Consider the following 21,406-nt stretch of genomic DNA (forward strand, 5'->3'; position numbering starts at 1 on the left):
AACAAAAAGGACGTCCACACCAAAACCCCAGCTGTAGGTCACCAACATCAAAGACCAAAGGTAGATGAAACCACAAAGATGGGGAGAAACCAGAGCAGAAAAGCTGAAAATTCTAAAAAGCAGAGCGCCTCTTCTCCTCCAAAGGATCGCAGCTCCTCGCCAGCAACGGAACAAAGCTAGACGGAGAATGACTTTGATGAGTTGACAGAAGTAGGCTTCAGAAGGTCAGTAATAACAAACTTCTCTGAGCTAAAGGATGTCCAAACCCATCGCGAGGAAGCTAAAAACCTTGAAAAAAGATTAGACGAATGGCTAATTAGAATAAACAGTGTAGAGAAGACCTTAAATAACCTGATGGAGCTGAAAACCATGGCATGAGAACTTCATGACGCATGCACAAGCTTCAATAGCTGATTCGATCAAGTGGAAGAAAGGGTATCAGTGATTGAAGATCAAATTAATGAAATAAAGCGAGAAGACAAGGTTAGAGAAAACAGAGTTAAAAGAAATGAACAAAGCCTCCAAGAAATATGGGACTATGTGCAAAGACCAAATCTACATTTGATTGATGTACCTGAAAGTGATGGGGAGAATGGAACAAAGCTGGAAAACACTCTTCAGGATATTATCCAGGAGAACTTCCCCAACCTAGCAAGGCAGGCCAACATTCAAATTCAGGAAATACAGAGAACACCACAAAGATACTCCTTGAGAAGAGGGACCCCAAGACACAGTTGTCAGATTCACCAAGGTTGAAATGAAGGAAAAAGTGTTAAGAGCAGCAGAGAGAAAGGTCGAGTTACCCACAAAGGGAAGCCCATCAGACTAACAGCAGATGTCTCAGCAGAAACCCTACAAGCCAGAAGAGAGTGGGAGCCAATATTCAACATTCTTAAAGAAAATAATTTTCAACCCAGAATTTCATATCCAGCCAAACTAAGCTTCATAAGTGAAGGAGAAATAAAATCCTTTACAAACAAGCAAATGCTGAGAGATTTTGTCACCACCAAGCCTGCCTTATAAGAGCTCCTGAAGGAAGCACTAAACATGGAAAGAAACAACCGATACCAGCCACTGCAAAAACAGGCCAAATTGCAAAGACCATCGATGCTATGAAGAAACTGCATCAATTAATGGGCAAAATAACCAGCGAACATCATAATGACAGAATCAAATTCACACATAGCAATATTAACCTTAAATGTAAATGGGCTAAATGCCCCAATTAAAAGATACAGACTGGCAAATTGGATAAAGAATCAAGATGCATCAGTGTGCTGTATTTAGGAGACCCATCTCATGTGCAAAGACACACATGGGCTCAAAATAAAGGGATGGAGGAAGATCTACCAAGGAAATGGAAAACAAAAAAAAGCAGTGGTTGCAACCCTAGTCTCTGATAAAACAGACTTTAAACCAACAAAGATCAAAAGAGACAAAGAAGGCCATCACATAATGGTAAAGGGATCAATTCAACAAGAAGAGCTAACTATCCTAAATATATATGCACCCAATACAGGAGCACCCAGATTCATAAAGCAAGTCCTTAGAGACCTACAAAGAGACCTGGACTCCCACACAATAATAACGGGAGACTTTAACACCCCACTGTCAATACTAGACAGATCAATGAGACAGAATGTTAACAAGGATATCCAGGACCTGAACTCAGCTCTGCACCAAGTGGACCTAATAGACATCTACAGAACTCTCCACCCCAAATCAACAAAATATACATTCTTCTCAGCACCACATCACACTTATTCTAAAATTGACCACATAATTGGAAGTAAAGTACTCTTCAGCAAATGTAAAAGAACAGAAATCACAACAAACTGTCTCTCATTTGATTGACCACAGTGCAATCAAATTAGAACTCAGGATTAAGAAACTCACTCAAAACCACTCAACTACATGGAAACTGAACAACCTGCTCCTGAATGACTACTGGGTAAATAACAAAATGAAGGCAGAAATAAAGATGTTCTTTGAAACCAATGAGAACAAAGACACAGCATACCAGAATCTCTGGGACACATTTAAAGCAGTGTATAGAGGGAAATTTATAGCACTAAATGCCCTCAAGAGAAAGTAGGAAAAATCTAACATTGATACTCTAACATCACAATTAAAAGAACTAGAGAAGCAAGAGCAAACAAATGCAAAAGCTAGCAGAAGGCAAGAAATAACTAAGATCAGAGCAGAACTGAAAGAGATAGAGACACAAAAAAAACCCTTCAAAAGATCAATGAATCTAGGAGCCGGTTTTTTGAAAAGATCAACAAAATTGATAGACAGCTAGCAAGACTAATAAAGAAGAAAAGAGAGAAGAATCAAATAGACACAGTAAGAAATGATAACGGGGATATACCACTGATCCCACAGAAATACAAACTACCATCAGAGAATACTACAAACACCTCTACACAAATAAACTAGAAAATCTAGAAGAAATGGATAAATTCCTGGACACATACACCCTCCCAAGACTAAACCAGGAAGAAGCTGAATCTCTGAATAGACCAATAACAGGCTCTGAAATTCAGGCAATAATTAATAGCCTACCAACCAAAAAAAAGTCCAGGACCAGATGGATTCACAGCCAAATTCTACCAGAGGTACAAAAAGGAGCTGGTACCATTCCTTCTGAAACTATTCCAATCAATAGAAAAAGAGGGAATCCTCCCTAACTCATTTTATGAGGCCAACATCACCCTGATACCAAAGCCTGGCAGAGACACAACAAAAAAAGAGAATTTTAGACCAATATCCCTGATGAACATCAATGGGAAAATCCTCAATAAAATACTGGCAAACCAAATCCAGCAGCACATCAAAAAGCTTATCCACCATGATCAAGTCAGCTTCATCCCTAGGATGCAAGGCTGGTTCAACATACGCAAACCATGTCCTTTGCAGGGACATGGATAAAGATGGAAACCATCATTCTGAGCAAACTATCACAAGGACAGAAAACCAAACACCGCATGTTCTCACTCATAGGTGGGAACTGAACAATGAGATCACTTGGACACAGGAAGGGGAACATCACACACTGGGGCCTGTTGCAGGGTCGGGGGCTGGGGGAGGGATAGCATTAGGAGATATACCTAATGTAAATGATGAGTTGATGGGTGCAGCAAACCACCATGGCACATATATACCTATGTCTCAAACCTGCACGTTGTGCACATGTGCCCTAGAACTTGAAGTATAATAAATAAATAAATAAAATAAAATAAAAATACAAAAATTAGTCAGACATGTTGGCACGTGCCTGTAATCCCAGCTACTTGGGGAGCTGAGGCAGGAGAATCACATGCACCCAGGAGGCAGAGATTGCAGGGGGCTGAGATCGCGCCACTGTACTCCAGCCTGGGTGACAAAGCGAAACTCCATCTCAAAAAATAAAAAATAAAAAATAAGAATAAATTTGAGGCCGGGTGCAGTGGCTCACGCCTGTAATCCCAGCACTTTGGGAGACCAAGGCGGACAGATCACTTGAGGTCAGGAGTTTGAGACCAGCCTGGCCAACATGGTAAAACCCCATCTCTACTAAAAATACAAAAATTAGCTGGGTGGTGGGTGCCTGTAGTCCCAGCTACTTGGGAGGCTGAGGCAGGAGAATCGCTTGAGCCCAGGAGGCTGAGGTTGCAGTGAGCTGAAACTGCGCCGCTGAACTCCGGCCTGGGCAACAAAGCAAAACTCCATCTCAAAACAAACAAACAAAAAAGAATAAATTGAACAAAAAGATTGACAGGCAGATTTTTCCCCCTTCCAACTCAGTACAAAATTAAATGTATGTATGTATTTACCAAAAATAAAACAAAACAAAAAACAAACCCCAAACATACATCTCAAAGCCACATGTATTTTTGGATGTCAGATATAGCTGTGCAATTTGTACCACTGCCTCTATTAGCAAGGATAATGAGACATGAACTATATGGAGACTACAAATCCCAGCAAAAGGCCTGAAGTCATTTGAAAGAAACATTTTTTCTTTCTTTTTTTTAATCACTAGGTTGCAATTTCCCTTTGCTAACACTACCCTGAATCATTCTATTTTGTACGCCCTATAATTTTAACACAGACAGTGATTCATCCTATATAATTGTTCTTTAATGAACTTTCGTTGTCTTTAGTTGGGCTTTTCAAAAAGAAGGTATGCAAAAATAAAGAGGAACTTATTAATTTTGTTTTTATAGTAAATGATGACTGGCCGGGCGTGGTGGCTCATGACTGTAATCCCAGCACTTTGGGAGGCTAAGGCAGGCGGATCACCTGAGATTAGGAATTTGAGACTAGCCTGGCCAACATGGTGAAACCCCAACTCTACTAAAAATACAAAAAGTAGCTGGGAGTGGTGGCAGGCACCTGTAATCCCAGCTACTTGGGAGGCTGGGGCAGGAGAATCGCTTGAACCCAGGAGGTGGAGGTTGCAGTGAGCCAAGATCATGCCATTGCACTCCAACCTGGGCAACAAGAGCAAAACTCCATCTAAAAAATAAATAAATAAAGACTTCAAATCTTATATCTTTGGATTTGCAGATGCTGTCAAACTTTGTTTTGTGAAAGAGCAGTAAAACCAAAGCTATTCTAGAGAAATGATCTGGTGGTGCTACACACACACACACACACACACACACACACACACACACCCTATATGATATCATTAACTTGTTTTTCAAAAGATTCTGCAAATATCAGTGGAAATGCTATTATTATTATTATTATTAGAGATGAGGTCTTGCTAGGTTGCACAGACTGGCCTTAAACTACTCCTGGGCTCAAGAGATCCTCCTGCCTCAGCCTCCTGAGTAGCTGGGACTACAGGTGTGTGCCACTGAGCCCAGCTTGGAAGTACTAATTTAAACAAACAGACGCTATTTTAAGAAGTTATATGGATTAATAAAATGAAATAAAAGGCATTGAGATGAGAAAGGAAGAAGTAAAATGATCTCTATTTGCAGATGGAATGATCTTGTATTTTTTTCCTGGCTTTACTGAGGTGTAATTGACAAATACAAACTGTATATATTTAAAGTATACAATGTGATGTTTTGACATATGTATATACTGTGAAATAATTACCACAATCAAGCTAATTAACACTTCCATCACTTCAGGCCAGGTGCGGTGGCTCACGCCTGTAATCCTAGCACTTTGGGAGGCTGAGTTGGGCAGATCACTTGAGGTCAGGAGTTTGAGACCTGTCTGGCCAACATGGCAAAATCTCATCTCTACTAAAAATACAAAAATTAGCCAGGTGTGGTGGCACGCACCTATAGTCCCAGCTACTTGGGAGGCTGGGACAGGAGAATCGTTTGAACCTGGAAGGCGAAGGTTGCAGTAAGCAGACATTGTACCACTGCACTACAGCCTGGGCAACAGAGTGAGACCCTGTCTCAAAAAAACAAAAACGAAAACAAAACATTTCCATCACTTCACATAGTTACCTTTTTTATGTATGTATATTGTAAGGAACACTTAAGATCTCAGCAAATTTCAAGTGTACGATAGGATTACTAATTACAGTCACCAGAGTGTAAACTAGCTCTCTAGAACTATTTCATCCTGCCTAACTGAAGCTTTGCACCCTTTGAACAAAATAACTCCCCATTTCCCTGCCTCCTGTAGCCCCTGGGGACCACCATTCTACTTTCTGCTTCTATGAGTTCAACTCCACTTAGATTCCATATATAAGTGAGAACCATGATCTTGTATTAGAAAATCTTAAGGAATCCGCTAAAAAAAAATTGAATAAGCAAGATTGTTCTATATCTTCCCCAGCCCCTAGCAGGACAGGACCATCTGGCAATGAGCCTTCCCAGTGCCAGGGATGAAGAATGTCTATCAGTCTCATAAGCTGAGATTGATCAATGCTTCCATTGGAAGATTTCTGAGAAAAAAAAAAAAAGTGGCTGAATGAGAAAAGAAACATACTCAGAACAGCCTGAGGTATGTGAGGTGTGCACAATTTATCAAGCACAGAGACAGGAGTATGGGACTTCAGTCACAACCCTGTCCCCGATTCCATGGCCAGGCACAATTGTTTAAAGGCATTTTGTTCCTGACTAGCTGCCTTACCTGTTAGTTTCATGTTCCTGGAATCTGTGATACAAAGAACAATGTATACACAATCAATAGCTTATGTTATTTTAATGTAAATTCTTGGTAAGCAAATTAGAAACTATCTCTTATTTTCCTTTAAAAACCCACTTGTAACTGCTGCTAATTGGAGTATATATTCAGGGCAACTTGAATCCATGCTACTGGGTTGCCGTCTTCAAACTTGGCCCAAATAAACTTTAGGTATATTAAAAAAAACAAAAAACAAAAAAACAAACAAAAAACAAAAACAAAAAATGATCGATAAAATCTTAGTGCTTTGGAGAGACTGAAAAATCAAACATTGTGGTCATCAACAGTGAAATAAACACATTTTTAGATAACCCAAAAAGTAAAAGAATTCACTGCTAGCAGATCTGCACTACAGGAAATGATAAAGGAAGTTCGGCTGGGCGGCATGGTGGCTGATGCCTGTAATCTTAGCCACTGTGGGAGGCTGAGACAGGCAGATTGCTTGAGCCCAGGAATTCGAGACCAACCTGGGCAACATGGTGAAACTATCTATAAAAAATAAAAAAAATTTGCCAGGCGTGGTGGCATGAGCCTGTGGTCCCAGCTAACCAGGAGGCTGATGTGAGAGGATTGCTTGAGCCTTGGACATGGAGGCTGCAGTGAGCCAAGATGGCACCATTTTGAGCCGAGGTGCCTGTCTCATAAATAAACAAATAAAGAAGTTCTTCAGATTTATGGTAAGTGATACTACATAAAAACTTGAGCTGGGGCCGGGCGCGGTGGCTGACGCCTGTAATCCCAGCACTTTGGGAGGCCGAGGTGGGTGGATCATGAGGTCAGGAGTTCAAGACCACCCAGGCCAAGACAGTGACCCGGGTCACCATTAGCCGGGTGTGGTGGTGGGAGCCTGTAATCCCAGCTTTTGGGAGGCTGAGGCAGAGAACTGCTTGAATCTGGGAGGTGGGGGTTGCAGTGAGCCGAGATCACGCCACTGCACTCCAGCCTTGGCGAGAGAGAAACTCTGTCTCAAAAAAAAAAATTTTTTTTTAATTTGAATTTTTAAATTTTTTGTAGAGACAAGGTCTTGCTATGTTGCCCAGGCTGGCTTTGAACTCCTGGCCTCAAGTGATCCTCCTGCTTTGACCTACCAAAGTGTTGGGATTATAGGTGTAAGCCACCACATGCAGCTAAAACCAAAATATTTGGAAGTTAAACAATATACTTTTAAATAGTCCACAAATTTACCTAATAAATAGAAAATATTTTGAACAGGATGATGTAAAAAATATTACATACCAAAATTGTGTGTGTGTGTGTGTGTGTGTGTGTGTGTGTGTGTGTGTTTTGAGACGGAGTCTCGCTCTGTTGCCCAGGCTGGAGTGCAGTGGTGCAATCTCGGCTCACTGCAACCTCTGCCTCCTGGGTTCACGCCATTCTCCTGCCTCAGCCTCCCAAGTAGTTGGGACTACAGTCGCCCATCACCACACCCAGCTAATTTTTTGTATTTTTAGTAGAGACGGGGTTTCACTGTGTTAGCCAGGATGGTCTCGATCTCCTGACCTCGTGATCCGCCCACCTCAGCCTCCCAAAGTGCTGGGATTACAGGCGTGAGCCACCACGCCCGGCAGTGTGTGTGTGTTTTATTTTTTGGTTATGTGTTTTTTGTTTGTTTGTTTTTTGGAGACAGAGTCTTCCTCTGTCTCTCAAGCTGGAGTAGAGTGGTGAGATCTCAGCTCAGTGTAACCTCTGCCTCCTGGGTTCTAGCAATTCTCCTGCCTCAGCCTCCCCAGTAGCTGGGATTACAGGTGCGTGCCACCATGCCTGACTAGTTTTTGTATTTTTAGTACAAATGGAGTTTCACCCTGTTGGCCAGGCTGGTCTTGAACTCCTGGCCTCAAGTGATCCACCCACCTTCCAAAGTGCTGGAATTACAGGCGTGAGCCACCACGCCCAGACTAAAGCAGTGTTTATAGGGAAATTTATAGCTTCACAAGCTTACCTTAGAAAAGGTAAGTAAGGTTTCATCTTAAGAAGCTTAGAAAAAGAAAAACAAAATAATATATACTGAAAATAAGTGAAGGAATAAGTAACAAAGGTATGAGCAGAAATCAACTCAATAGGCAACAAACCATAGAGAAAATTAACAAAGTCAAAAATTGGTTCTTTGAAAAGATTAACAAAATTGCTAAACCCCTAGGTAGACTGAGTAAGAAATATTTTTTTAAAAAAGAAAGAGAATTCATAATTTGCCAACAGTAGGAGTAAAAGGGGATTTCAGATTCTACAGACATCAAAGGGATAATAATGGAATATTATGAACAACTTCATGTCAATAAATTCAATAACATAGATGACATGGGCAAATTATTCAAAAATATAACCTAAAATTCATATAAAACACAAACCTTACATATTTACTTAAAAAATTAAATTATCAAAACCTTTTCAGAAAGAAATTGGCAAGTCCAGATAGTTTCACTGATGAATTCTATCAAATACAGCTCAGAAAGAAACAATACTCATCTTACAGAAACTTCTGAAAACAGAGAAGGAAAAATCCCTCATTTTATTTATTTACTTATTTAATTATTATTTTTGAGATGGAGTCTTGCTCTGCTACCCAGTCTGGAGTGCAGTGGCGTGATCTCAGCTCACTGCAACATCCATCTCCCGGGTTCAAGTGATTCTCCTGCCTCAGCCTCCCAAGTAGCTGGGACTACAGGCATGTGCCACCAAGCCCGGCTACTTTTTGTTATTTTTAGTTACAGATGGGGTTTCACCATGTTGGCGAGGCTGGTCTTGAACTCCTGATCTCAGGTGATCTGCCCGTCTCAGCCTCCTAAAGTGTTAGGATTACAGGCATGAGCCACCATGCCTGGCCTATTTAATTTAATTAATTAATTAATTTAGAGACAGAGTTTCGCTCTTGTCGCCCAGAATGGAGTGCAATGGCGCAATCTCGGCTCACTGCAACCTCCACCTCCCAGGTTCCAGTGATTCTCCTGCCTCAGCCTCCTGAGTAGCTGGGATTACAGACACCTACCACCATGCCCAGCTAATTTTTTGTATTTCTAGTAGAGACAGAGTTTCACCATGTTGGCCAGCCTGGTCTTGAACTCCTGACCTCAGGTGATCCACCTGCCTCGGCCTCCCAAAGTGCTGGGATAACAGGTGTGAGCCACTGTGCCCAGTCCCTAACTCATTTTATGAGGATAAAATACTCTGACATAAAACCCGAAAAGACATTACAAAAAAAAAAAAAATTACAGACCAATATCTGTCAATATTTAACAAAATGTTAGGAAATCAAGTCTAGTAATACATTAAAAAAGCTAATACATCATTACAAATTAGGTTTATTTCAGGATAAGGAATAGTCAATGTCATCTACCATATTAAAAGAATAAAGCAGAAAAGCCATATGACCATTTCAATATATATAGAAAAAAATTTGACAAAATACAGGAGCCATTGATGACAAAAACCCTTTTCAAATAACAGAAAATAATTTTCTTAATCTGACAACGAGCAACTATGAAAAATCTAATCTAATATCCAATTTAATGGTACAATATTGAATACTTTTCTCTAAAGTTCAGAAAGAAGCCAAGGATGTCCACTCTCACCACTTCTATTCAATATTGTATTGGTGGGGTAAGCAAGTGCAATAAAGCAAGAAAAAAAAAGCCATAAATTTTTTTTTAAAAAAGGAGATGAAACTATCTCTGTTTGAAGATGATAGGATTATTTACATAGAAAAACCTGAGGAATCTACAAAACAACTAGAAGAATAAGTGAATTTAGCAAAATTACAGAATATAAAGTTAATATATAAAAATCAGTTATATTTTAATATTAGCAGCAAACAATTAGAAAATAAAATAAAACCAATTCCATTTATAATGGGATCGAAAACCATAAAATACTTAAGCACAAATTTTAAAAATATATGTGCAAGACCTGTATTAATAAAACTATAAGACCACTGCTGAGAGAAAATGAGACCTTAAAAAATGGGGAGATATATTATGCTCGTGAATTATAAGATGCTATATTACACTAAGGTGTTGATTCTTCCCAAATTGATCTACATACTCAATGTTACTGTAATCACAATTCCACTTCTTTTGGCATAGAAAGTGACAAGCTGATTCTAAAATTTATATGGAAATACAAATGACCTAGAATATCCAAAGTAATCTTGAAAAAGAAGACCAAGTTGGCAGCATTTACAATAGCTGACATTTCAGGACTTTCATATATGTTCATATACTCCTTATTAAAAAAAAAAAAAGAGAGAGATGGGGTCTCACTATGTTGCCCAGGCTGGTCTCAAACTCCTGGGCTCAAGCAATCCTGCACAATCTTGGCTCACTGCAACCTCTGCCTCCCAGATTCAAGCAATTCTCCTGCCTCAGCCTTCCGAGTAGCTGGGACTACAGGCATACACCACCACGCCTGGCTAATTTTTGCAATTTTAGTAGAGATGGAGTTTCGCCATGTTGACCAGGCTGGTCTCAAACTCCTGACCTCAGGTGATCTACCTGCCTCAGCCTCCCAAAGTGTTCGGATTACAGGCATGAACCACCATGCCTGACTATATTCATACAATGGGTTACTACTCATCATAAAAAAGGATTAAACTACTGACACACAACGGAGATGGATCTCAAAAACATTGAGTGAAACCTTAGACGAGTGTACATTTATATAATTCCAATGTATGAAGTTCTAGAAAAAGCAAAATTAATCTATGGTGGAAAAATATACAGTACAAAGGTTGCCTCTTGGTGAGTGGGGGCAAAAACTGTGAAGGGGACTGAAAGAACTTTAAATGAATCTTGAACTTTAGTTAATATTCATACTGAACTAATTGGGAGTGAAGTATACTTACGTCTGCAACTTACTTTGAACATGTCAAATAAGATCAATGATTACTTAGAGAGGTGAAAATATGCATAGTCATACGATCAAGCAAATATAGCAAAATGTCAGTTGAGCTGAATATGTGGATGTTATTTAAATAATTATTTCAACTGTTCTGAATGTTTAAAAATTTTCATAATGAAATGTTGAGGGAAAAATTGTGCTTTCAATTCCTCCGTGCTCTCACGTTGCTTGTACAAACTGTAACTGAATTTCTATGAAGTAAGCCAAAGGAGCGGGGTGTTATTCTCAGAGTCATATTGTCTTAAAAAAAGTCTTAATATAAGAAATAAACTAAAGCATTCCTTCTCATCAAAGACGCAACTTAAGTTGTATAGTGACTTTAGCTTCACATTGTATATATAATGACTCTGGCTCAGATAGGGGAAGTTCTGCAGCTTCATGCCCTGTGCCTCAGCTTAGATGCTTATTTTCAAGGTTAGTCATTTAAAGATAGGCACCTGCCCAGACTACGGCCTTAGCACAAGAAAATATATTCACTGAACTTGGCATCTCAGGGTGAAATGCAAGGCTCATACAATGTCAACAAATCAAAACACCATTTCAAGGATGCCAAGAAAAACTTATCTTTTACTGTTCAGGAGGGGCAGTCACCTAAGAGATTACAGATCCAATGTTCATACCTTCAAAAAAACACTTTTTGAGTTTCATTACCTTTATCAAGAGATGCTCCAGCCATATGGTAAAAACTCAATGCAGTGTCCACATCATTAATGTTCTTTAGGAAAGTAAAGAAGTTCTCCACCTCCTGAAATGTCAGACCCTGCAAGAGGAGAGACAGCAAGGTAAGGCAGGACCTGTAACAAAAAGCAGCACGATATGCATAGGCAGTGATTCACATCTGCAAATCAGAAATTCATGCTCATGTCTAGAACAGAAACTGAATACATTAGTCAAGGAATATCAAATTCATAAACAGCAGGGGAACAAAACTCTTGAATTCTACCCTGAGAAAGGCAAACTGGCTAGTTGCTTCCCTCTCACACGTAAAATCTGAGAAAGCTTACAGTGATGGCTGAATATCTTAATGAAAATATTTCTTCTTTTTTTTTGAGATGGAGTTTCACTCTGTCACCCAAGCTGGAGCGTAATGGCATGATCTCAGCTGACTGCAACCTCCGCCTCCTACGTTCAAGCAATTCTCCTGCCTCAGCCTCCTGAGTAGCTAGGATTACAGGTGCACACCATCACGCCTGGTTAATTTTTGTATTTTTAGTAGAAACAGGGTTTCATCATGTTGGCCAGACTGGCCTTGAACTCCTGACCTCAAGTGATTCACCTGCCTCAGCCTCCCAACGTGCTGGGATTACAGGTCTGAGCCACTACACCTGGCCTAATGAAAATATTTCTAACTGTGCTCTCCAATTAGACACACTATCAATGATGACACTTCCTAATTGGGCTATAGCTACTTGACTTGTTATACATCTTAAGAAGTAAAATCAGAGTCAGGACTTCCAGTTTAATAGTCTGCTCACAGGCCAGCTGAGCTTTTTGAGGCTTAAGCGAATTGAAGAATCACCAAAGTCAGTGATATACAGGGGAACGGTGTCGGTATTTAGCAAAACCCAAGTAATGGGGAAGCCGTTCATTATCTCAATTTAAAAGCTACCCACAAAGTAATTTGCCACTTAACTTTAATCTAATGAAATTCTGTGAATGAAGATTTTTTTTTCAAAAACGGTTTAAAGATTTGCTGATCTCTAATTCCACTTTCTATGATGCATCGAGAAAAAGTAGTTATAGAAATAGGGGCTACTGGGAATTCCTTTATAGGGAGGAAGATTTGTCCTATTTGCCTTTCCCCCGCTTCCCACACATCATGCTGTGATGGAAATAAATGCAGTTTCTAAGAAGGGAAAACACTGGGAAATGTCCTAGATATCCCAGACACTGATGTTAATGCCTTTTAATGAAGCATCAGGTCCTTAAAGAGCTGCAGATGTAGACTGGCTTCTACTTAGTGCTGCTCCTCCTGCAATTTTCATTTTCCCAAACTACAGAGCCCAGGAACTCACATCAGGAACTCAGTAATAAGGAAATCCTAATACAATCTACAGTTCTTTCCTGGTACTCTCCAAACTGGGTCAATTGTATGTTTCTCACCTTATCAAACTGAAAGCTAAAAGACTGTATTAGGCTGGGTGCAGTGACTCATGCCTGTAATCCCAGCACTTTGGGAGGCCAAGGCAGGAGGATCACTTGAGCTCAGTGACCAGCCTAGGCAACATGGTGAAACCTCATCTCTACAAAAAATATTTAAAAAGTTAGCCGAGTGTGGTGGCATGTGCCTATAGTACCAGCTATTTGGGAGGCTGAGGTGGGAGGATCGCTTGAGCCTGGGAGGCAGAGGTTGCAGGGAGCTGAGATCATGCCACAGCACTCCAGCCTGGGTGACAGGGCTAGACGCTGTCTCAAAAACAAAACACAACAAAAAAGACTGTATGATTATATCACATGATCTTTTATAATTTTTTTCCTTAGAATCATAGAACTTAAAAAACTTTATTGTGGAATATGATGACTATATAGAAAGGTGCATAAAATATAAATGTACAACTTATCAAACTCTTGCAAAGTGAACACCCACAGAACCTTCATTTAGGTCAAGGAACAGACTATTATCATCATCTCAGAAGCCTCCTCTCTCCCCACAACATGTCCCTTCCTAATCATAAACTCCAGCCCCTGCCCAACCCCTACTGACAATAACCACTATTCTGACTTTTAGGGAATTCATTTCCTTGCTTTTTTTAAAAATAGCATTTTTATATGTAAATAGCGTACTTACAAAAACCGTTGCTTAATTTTATCTGTTGTGGAACAGTAGAAATGGAATTATGCAGTAGGCATTCTGTTATATATGGCTTCTCTCTTTAAGATTTGTTCATGTTTTTGTGTGTATCTGTAGTTCATTCATTTTTATTGCTATAAAGTATTTCATTGTGTGAATATACCACAATTTGTTTATCCATTCTATTTGGGCTGTTTCCAATTTTTGGCAATTATGAACAGTGATGCATCTGTACTTAGCATTTATTCAAACATTTATAGAGTACTAGCCAGGCACGGTGGCTCACGCCTGTAATCCCAGCACTTTGGGTGGCCGAGGCGGGCAGATCACCTGAGGTCAAGAGTTCCAGACCAGCCTGACTAACACGGAGAAACCCCATCTCTACTAAAAATACAAAAATATTAGCCAGGCATGGTGGCAAATGCCTGCAATCCCAGCTACTTGGGAGGCTGAGGCAGGAGAATCGCTTGAGCCTGGGAGGCAGAGGTTGCAGTGAGCTGAGATCACGCCACTGCACTCCAGTCTGGGCAACAAGAGGGAAACTCTGTCTCAAAACAAAACAAAACAACCAAAAAACAAAAAACAAACATTTATAGAGTACCTACTATGTACCAAGTGTTGTAATTTTTGGTAGTGGACTGGAAGGCCTATATTATATGCTTTTTCCCTAATTTGAGGTCAGTCTCTTGGCTTTGCCTTAGAGCACCCAGAGTTAGGTCTCATTATGCATACCATAGTATGCTATTTAATGTAGGCACTAGCTAGAATCAAATTTAGAAGAGAATCCCATAGGATTAGAAGTACAGGTTGTACAATATCATTGCTTGTGGATGGACACACTAATAATCTTCCTTTCCCTGCCATCAAAAGACACATAAAGGTGGAGGCAACCCAATAGTCTACTGATGGATGAATGGATAAACAAAATGCGGCATATACACACAATGGAATATTGTTTAGCTTTTAAAAGGAAGAAGATTCTGACACAAGCTACAGGATGATGGCCCTCGAAGACATTATGCCAAGTGAAATAAACTAGCCACAAAAGGACAAAAGATAATACTGTATGACTGCACTTAAATGAGGTAATGAGAGTAGTCAAAGATGGTGGTTGTCAGGAGCTGGGAGGAGGAGAATGAGGAGCTATTATTTAATGGTAAGGAGTTCCGGTTTGGGAAGGTGAACGGGTTCTGGAAATAGATGTGTATTTTACCACACACAACACACATACACACATAACATGCTAAAGCTCTTTTACTTTTCTTTTTTTTTTTTTTGAGACGGAGTCTCGCTCTATCGCCCAGGCTGGAGTGCAGTGGCGCGATCTCGGCTCACTGCAAGTTCCGCCTCCCGGGTTCACGCCATTCTCCTACCTCAGCCTCCCGGGTAGCTGGGACTACAGGCGCCCACCACTGCACCCGGCTAATTTTTTGTATTTTTTTTTAGTAGAGATGGGGTTTCACCGTGTTAGCCAGGATGGTCTCGATCTCCTGACCTCGTGATCCACCCGCCTCGGCCTCCCAAAGTGCTGGGATTACAGTTACTTTTCTTATTAAGGTATAAAATCCTGTAGGAGTTAGAGAGTTAGGGGACTAAGTTATTGAAAGGGTATTTGAGGCTAAAAGGTTAACATAAAATTCCTAAAACAGTTAGGGCATGGTAGAGGAAATGTGTCCCACTCTGATGATAAACAACCTCTAAAGTTTGTTAGTTTCTAACTAACACTCTGAAACATCAAATACTACAGCTCAAGACCAGAGTGCTTATGCTGAGAATTATCTGAGGACAGAGAGAGAACAATCTAAACTGAATGGCTATTCATTTGGTGATTCAGAAAAACAGTGGGCTGCAAATCACATTATATAACTATTAAATCTAAATATACATCACTATACTTTTATCACAAAGATATAATAAAAAATTTTATTGAGCACTTACTAATCACTTATCATTATGCCAAGAACAGTGAGGGAAATTGTATTGGACACAGGCCTTGATTTTTTGGAGCTTACTATTTAGATAGGCCTCCTTAAAGTGAAGATGATGTCAGTCCCAAAATTCTTATTTTTTTGGTAACTACTATGGTAAAAATCCAGAGGGCTATTAGAAAAAAGCTAGAGTAAGATGATAACATGAGCTTTGTGGCTGGAAAGATGGAAAGAGAAAGGATATACTTATTGCAAATTGAGTTGTTTGGACAAGAAGGCTACAACTTATGAAACAATCTATTGGCAGGTGACTAGAACTGCAGACATAATAATCAAAAGGAACTGTCTCTTAGAGGAGTTACTGTGACTAATTGTTCAACAAACTGGTTATCTATCTACCTTTGGAAAGATGGACTTATATAAACCGGGCTCTAGGTGACTATAAAAAGAAGATAAGATTAATGATAGTTTGTAGACAATAGTGATTATTTCTTTAGGATGCTGAAAAATGAATTTAACATTAGGAAGTTGCTAAGCAAGTAAATAGAATTGTCTTTCAAAACTAAAAGCAGGGCCAGGTGTGGTGGCTCATGCCTGTAATCCCAGCACTTTGGGAGGTCGAGGCGGCTCGATCACCTGAGGTCAGGAGTTCGGGACCAGCCTGGCCAAACATGGTGAAACCCCGTCTCTACTAAAAATACAAAATTATCTGGGCATGGTGGCGCATGCCTGTAATCCCAGCTACTCAGGAGGCCGAGGCAGGGGAATTGCTTGAACCTGGGAGGCAAAGGTTGCAGTGAGCCAAGATTGCGCCATTGCACTCCAGCCTGGGCGACAAGAGCAAAACTCTGTCTCCAGAAAAAAAAAAAAAAAAAGCAGTGGATAAAACTTTTAGAAGAAAACACAGGAGAGGCTGAGCACAGTGCACAGTGGCTCATGCCTGTAATCCCAGCACTTTGGGAGGCAAAGGCGGGCAGATCACTTGAGCCTGGAAGTTTGAGACCAGCCTGGCCAACATGGTGAAACCCTGTCTCTACTAAAAATACAGAAATTAGCCAGGCATGGTGGCATGTGCTTGTAATCCCAGCTACTCGGGAGGCTGAGGAATGAGAATTGCATGAACCCAGGAGGTGGAGGTTGTAGTGAGCCGAGATCGTGCCACTGCACTCCAGCCTGGGCAGCAGTGAAACTCTGTCTCAAAAAAAGACAAAAAACAAAAACAAAAACAAAACAAAACAAAACAAAACCACATAGGAGCAAATCTTCATGACCTTGACTAAGGCAAGAGTTCTTAGATGACACCCAAAGCACAATCCATAAAGGAAAAAAAACTGATTGGTTAGACTTCATCAAAATTTAAAAAATTTGTGCTTCAAAATAATGAGAAAATAGAAAAATCACAAGCTAGGAGAAAATGCTTGAAAATCATATATTTGGTAACAGACTTGAATCCAGGTCGGGCGCAGTGGCTCACACCTGTAATGCCAGCACTTTGGGACACCAAGGCGGGTGGATCACCTGAGGTTGGATGTTCGAGACCAGCCTGACCAATATGGTGAAAACCCATCTTTACTAAAAGTACAAAAATTAGCCAGGCTGTGGTGGTGGGCACCTGTAATCCCAGTGACTCAGGAGGCTGAGGCAGGATAACTGCTTGAACCTGGGAGGCAGAGGTTCAAGTGAGCTGAGATTGTGCCACTGCACTCCAGCCTGGGCGACAGAGGGAGACCCTGTCTCAAAAATAAAAAAAAAAGGACTTGTATCCAGAATTATATAAACAACTATTATAACTCAATATATGGGAAGACCAACAACCTGATTTAAAAAAAGATTTGAATAGACAGTTTACCAAACAAGACAAGTGAATGGCTAATAAGTACATGAAACAATGCTTAGCATCATTAGGAAAATACAAATTAAAATCACAATGATATACCACTACACACCTATTGGAATGACTGTAATAAAGAAGACAGACAATAACAGGTGTTGATGAGGGTGTGGAGAAACTGGAACTCTCGTATATTCACATGGAGATGTGAAATGGTTCCACCACTTTGGAAAACGGTTTAGCAGTTCCTCAAAAAATTAAATTTACCATACAACCCAGGTATTTCACTCCTAGGAATCTTCAACAAAAATGAAAACACAGGTCTGCAGGAGGACTTGTACGCAATGTTCACAGCAGCATTATTCCTAATAGCCCAAAACTGGAAACAATCCAAATGTGAATGGATAAATAAAATTTAGTATATCCAAGCAATAAAATACTATTTACTCTTCTGCAATAGAAAATAATAAACTATTAATATAAGCATCTACATAAAAATGTAATGTAGTAAATAAAATACTATTTACTCTTCTGCAATAGAAAATAATAAACTATTAATATAAGCATCTACATAAAAATATTGTGCTAAGTAAAAGAAGCCAGACACAAAAGACTACCTTATTATTGTATTTATATGAAATGTCCAGTAAATGCAAGTCTATAGAGACTGAAAGCTGTTTTATAGTTGCCTGGGGCTAGGGTAGAAATGAGGATTGACTGAAAGCTAGCAGGAGGGATCTTTTTGGGGTGATGGAAATGTTCTAAAACTGAATGGCAGTAATAATTGCATAACTGCAAATTTACTAAAATTCACTAAAATTAATAAAAATCACCGAATTGTACAGTTAAAATGGATAACTTATGGTATATAAATTATACCTCAAAAAAAGTTGTTAAAAAATATGAAGCAGTCAGAGTAGATGAGACAAGGAAAATGTAGCTTCCTTTGGAGTCAGCTGTAAAGCGAGATATCTAATGCTGACAGGCCATGATGAGTGCAAACACTGTAATGGATGATTCCCTCTTCCTGCCTTTTAATCAGTCACAGCAAATCCGTCTACCAGAAGCCAATCTAATTGCCCAAGTTCTGTCTATGGCCCACTGAAAAAAACAGTCTTCTTCCTTCCTTATATCCCATGCCTCTCACCATTCTTGTCATGTATCCTCTGCTCAATCTCCTGCTTAGTTTTTTTTTTTTTTTTTTTTGAGACAGAGTCTCACTCTGTTGCTTAGGCTGGAGTGCAATGGAGCAATCTTGGCTCACTGCAACCTTCGCCTTCCAAGTTCAAGCAATTCTCTTGCCTTAGCTTCCCAAGTGGCTGGGATTACAGACACCTGTCACCATGGCCAGCTAATTTTTTGTATTTTTGTAGAGATGTGCTTTCGCCATGTTGGCCAGGCTGGTCTTGAACTCCTGACCTCAGGTGATCCAACTACCTTGGCCTCCCAAAGTGCTGGGATTACAGGCGTGAGTCACTGCGCCCAGCCTCTCCTGCTTAGTTTTAAAACAATTTTAATTAATATTTTTATACCAGGTACAAGGCAATTCTTTCTGAACCCTGTGCTACATGTGGCCCATGTTACCTATTTCTTGGGTACCTTTCAGAGGTATTACTATGCCTGTCTTGCTCTAATAAAGCATCTTCCTATTGCAAACCCCAGACTTCTCTTCAACTGTTGCCTGGCAGCAGGGGAAATTATACCATTTCTGTTACTTACATTTCCACAGGTATCTAATCTTTCTGAAACATCACTTTCTTCATATCTTTATCCCTTCCGCTCACAACATGTCCATGATTTCCTACTGTCAATTGGATAAACCTCCAAACTTTTTAGCCTGGGATTTACGGTCTTCCACCATCTGCTTCCATAACTTAACCTTTCTAGCTATCTTCCTAAGAATCTTAGGCTGGCATCTGGCAACACTGGTTTTGTTTCCCTAAAAACTTGTGCTTATTTAAACCATGGAGAATAAGGAGTGGCAACAAACAGGATGATTAGTAAGAAGGCTATGGACTCTGGAATAAGAATAAAGCTTTGAACCCTGGTGCCGCCTTCCTAAGACATTGTTGATCTCAGGTTAATAACTAAGGCTCAGAGGACTATTTTTCATCTGAAATATGATAATTCTACCTAGTATCTACCAAGCAGGTAGATACACAAGATATGTAAAATGTCTAGTACACAGAAAGTACTCAGTAAGTGGTAGATATGAGTCCTTAGTAATTTGGCAGGCTCATTACTACAGAACTAGTGATAATTAATTTATTCTACTAAGCTCTGAAGTAGGCTCTCTTATCTGGAATGTGTAGGATCTTGAGGGATAGGGAATAGGGGAAAAGTTGATGTAAATGAAATTCATTGTGGGGAAAAAACAGGAAAATAATAGAGGGAAAACTCATAAAACTAAATCTCCTATAGTAATTCATAGCTTAGTACTCCTTTGGGGGAAGTACAGGTTTCAAAGCTAATTAGTAACAACAACAACAACAAAAAGTAGAGTTCTAGTCTTTTTAGTTTTATGGCCACATTTCACACGCTATACTACATAGTGACTGGTGGGCACCTAATATTTGGAGTTAATGAGTTTTCAAGGGGTATGCTAGCAATTTCTAGAATCTGATATTCCACAAATGACTAATGTGGTTCAAATATCTGAGAATAAGTGAAAAAGGAGAGCTCGCATATATTATCCACAGATGATATGAAAACTTAACAATCTAATGGTTTTATTAGAACTGTTTGATAAGTACTAACTGCTTAATGGCTAGTAGCAGAATTAATAAGCAATCATACACACAGAAGGCTGTTGGGGATAGGGCTACGACAGGAAACACTTAGCAAAAGCAAATGTCTTTATAAGCTTCTGCTTGTCAAAATCCTACTCCATGTTTAAGGCCAAGTTCGAATTGTACTTCCTCTAAGAAATCTTACTCGGTCTCTTCAGCTGGCTCTAATCTTCCTCCTTAGTGCTTCAAAAAGATCTCATACCTTTAATAGAGTACTCAACATATTTATCATTGCACTTGATAAGCATTTACCGCCACCATACAGAGGACATGCAAAGATGAATAAGGCACTGCTCTCAAGAAGCTCAAAGCTAAGTGAGTTACCTTGCTTTATATTTGTTTAAAATCTGTTTCGTTCCAGTAGGAATGCTAAGTTCTATGAGGCAGACACTGGTGTGCTCACTACTGCATTCCCAGTATTTAGAAGACTGCTTGGCACATAGTGGCTGATCGATAAATATTGAATATAAATGTGAATATAGAATTACAGAGTTCTTTGCATACATATTTTTCTCTTACTAGACTATTACAGACTTAAGAAATATATATAGTTGTGCTGGGTGTGGTGGCTCACGCCTGTAATCCCAGCACTTTGGGAGGCCAAGGCGGGTGGATCACGAGGTCAGGAGATCGAGACCATCCTGGCTGACATGGTGAAACCCTGTCTCTACTAAAAACACACAAAAAATTAGCCAGGCGTGGCAGTGGGCACCTGTAGCCCCAGCTACTCAGGAGGCTGAGGCAGGAGAATGGCATGAACCCAGGAGGCGGAGCTTGCAGTGAGCCGAGATCAGGCCACTGCACTCCAGCCTAGACAACAGAGCAAGACTCCGTCTCAAAAAAAAAAAAAAAAAAAAGAAATATAGTTGTAAGGATAAGGGAAGGTCTTTTTCACAGCACCTGGCTTAGTGTCTTGCACACAGCAATGTCTGCCATTGAACTGAGTTATAATTTTCAATTTCATCCTTAAGAAGTTACTAGTTAGTAGCTTCTGCATTCATAAACATAGAGGATCACCACTGTGAATTACATT

The 21,406-nt window shown here is 39.9% G+C and overlaps 1 protein-coding gene across 24 annotated transcripts in view; it reads right to left on the minus strand.

Moving 5' to 3' along the window:
* The window catches only part of MICU1 (mitochondrial calcium uptake 1), a 258,740-nt gene that overhangs the window by 28,904 nt on the left and 208,430 nt on the right, over window positions 1-21,406 (minus strand). For all 24 annotated transcript variants that reach the window (NR_199811.1, NR_199809.1, NR_199810.1 and 21 more), the window contains one exon: window positions 11,686-11,794. Coding sequence is in view for 21 of the 24 variants with exons in the window: in NM_001441228.1 (NP_001428157.1) it covers window positions 11,686-11,794 (109 nt within the window). In the remaining 3 variants the exon portion in view is untranslated. The remainder of the gene's footprint in view (window positions 1-11,685; window positions 11,795-21,406) is intronic.

The sequence above is a fragment of the Homo sapiens genome, chromosome 10 (genome assembly GCF_000001405.40).
Source record: "Homo sapiens chromosome 10, GRCh38.p14 Primary Assembly".
In the NCBI taxonomy this organism is placed as follows: Eukaryota; Metazoa; Chordata; class Mammalia; order Primates; family Hominidae; genus Homo; species Homo sapiens.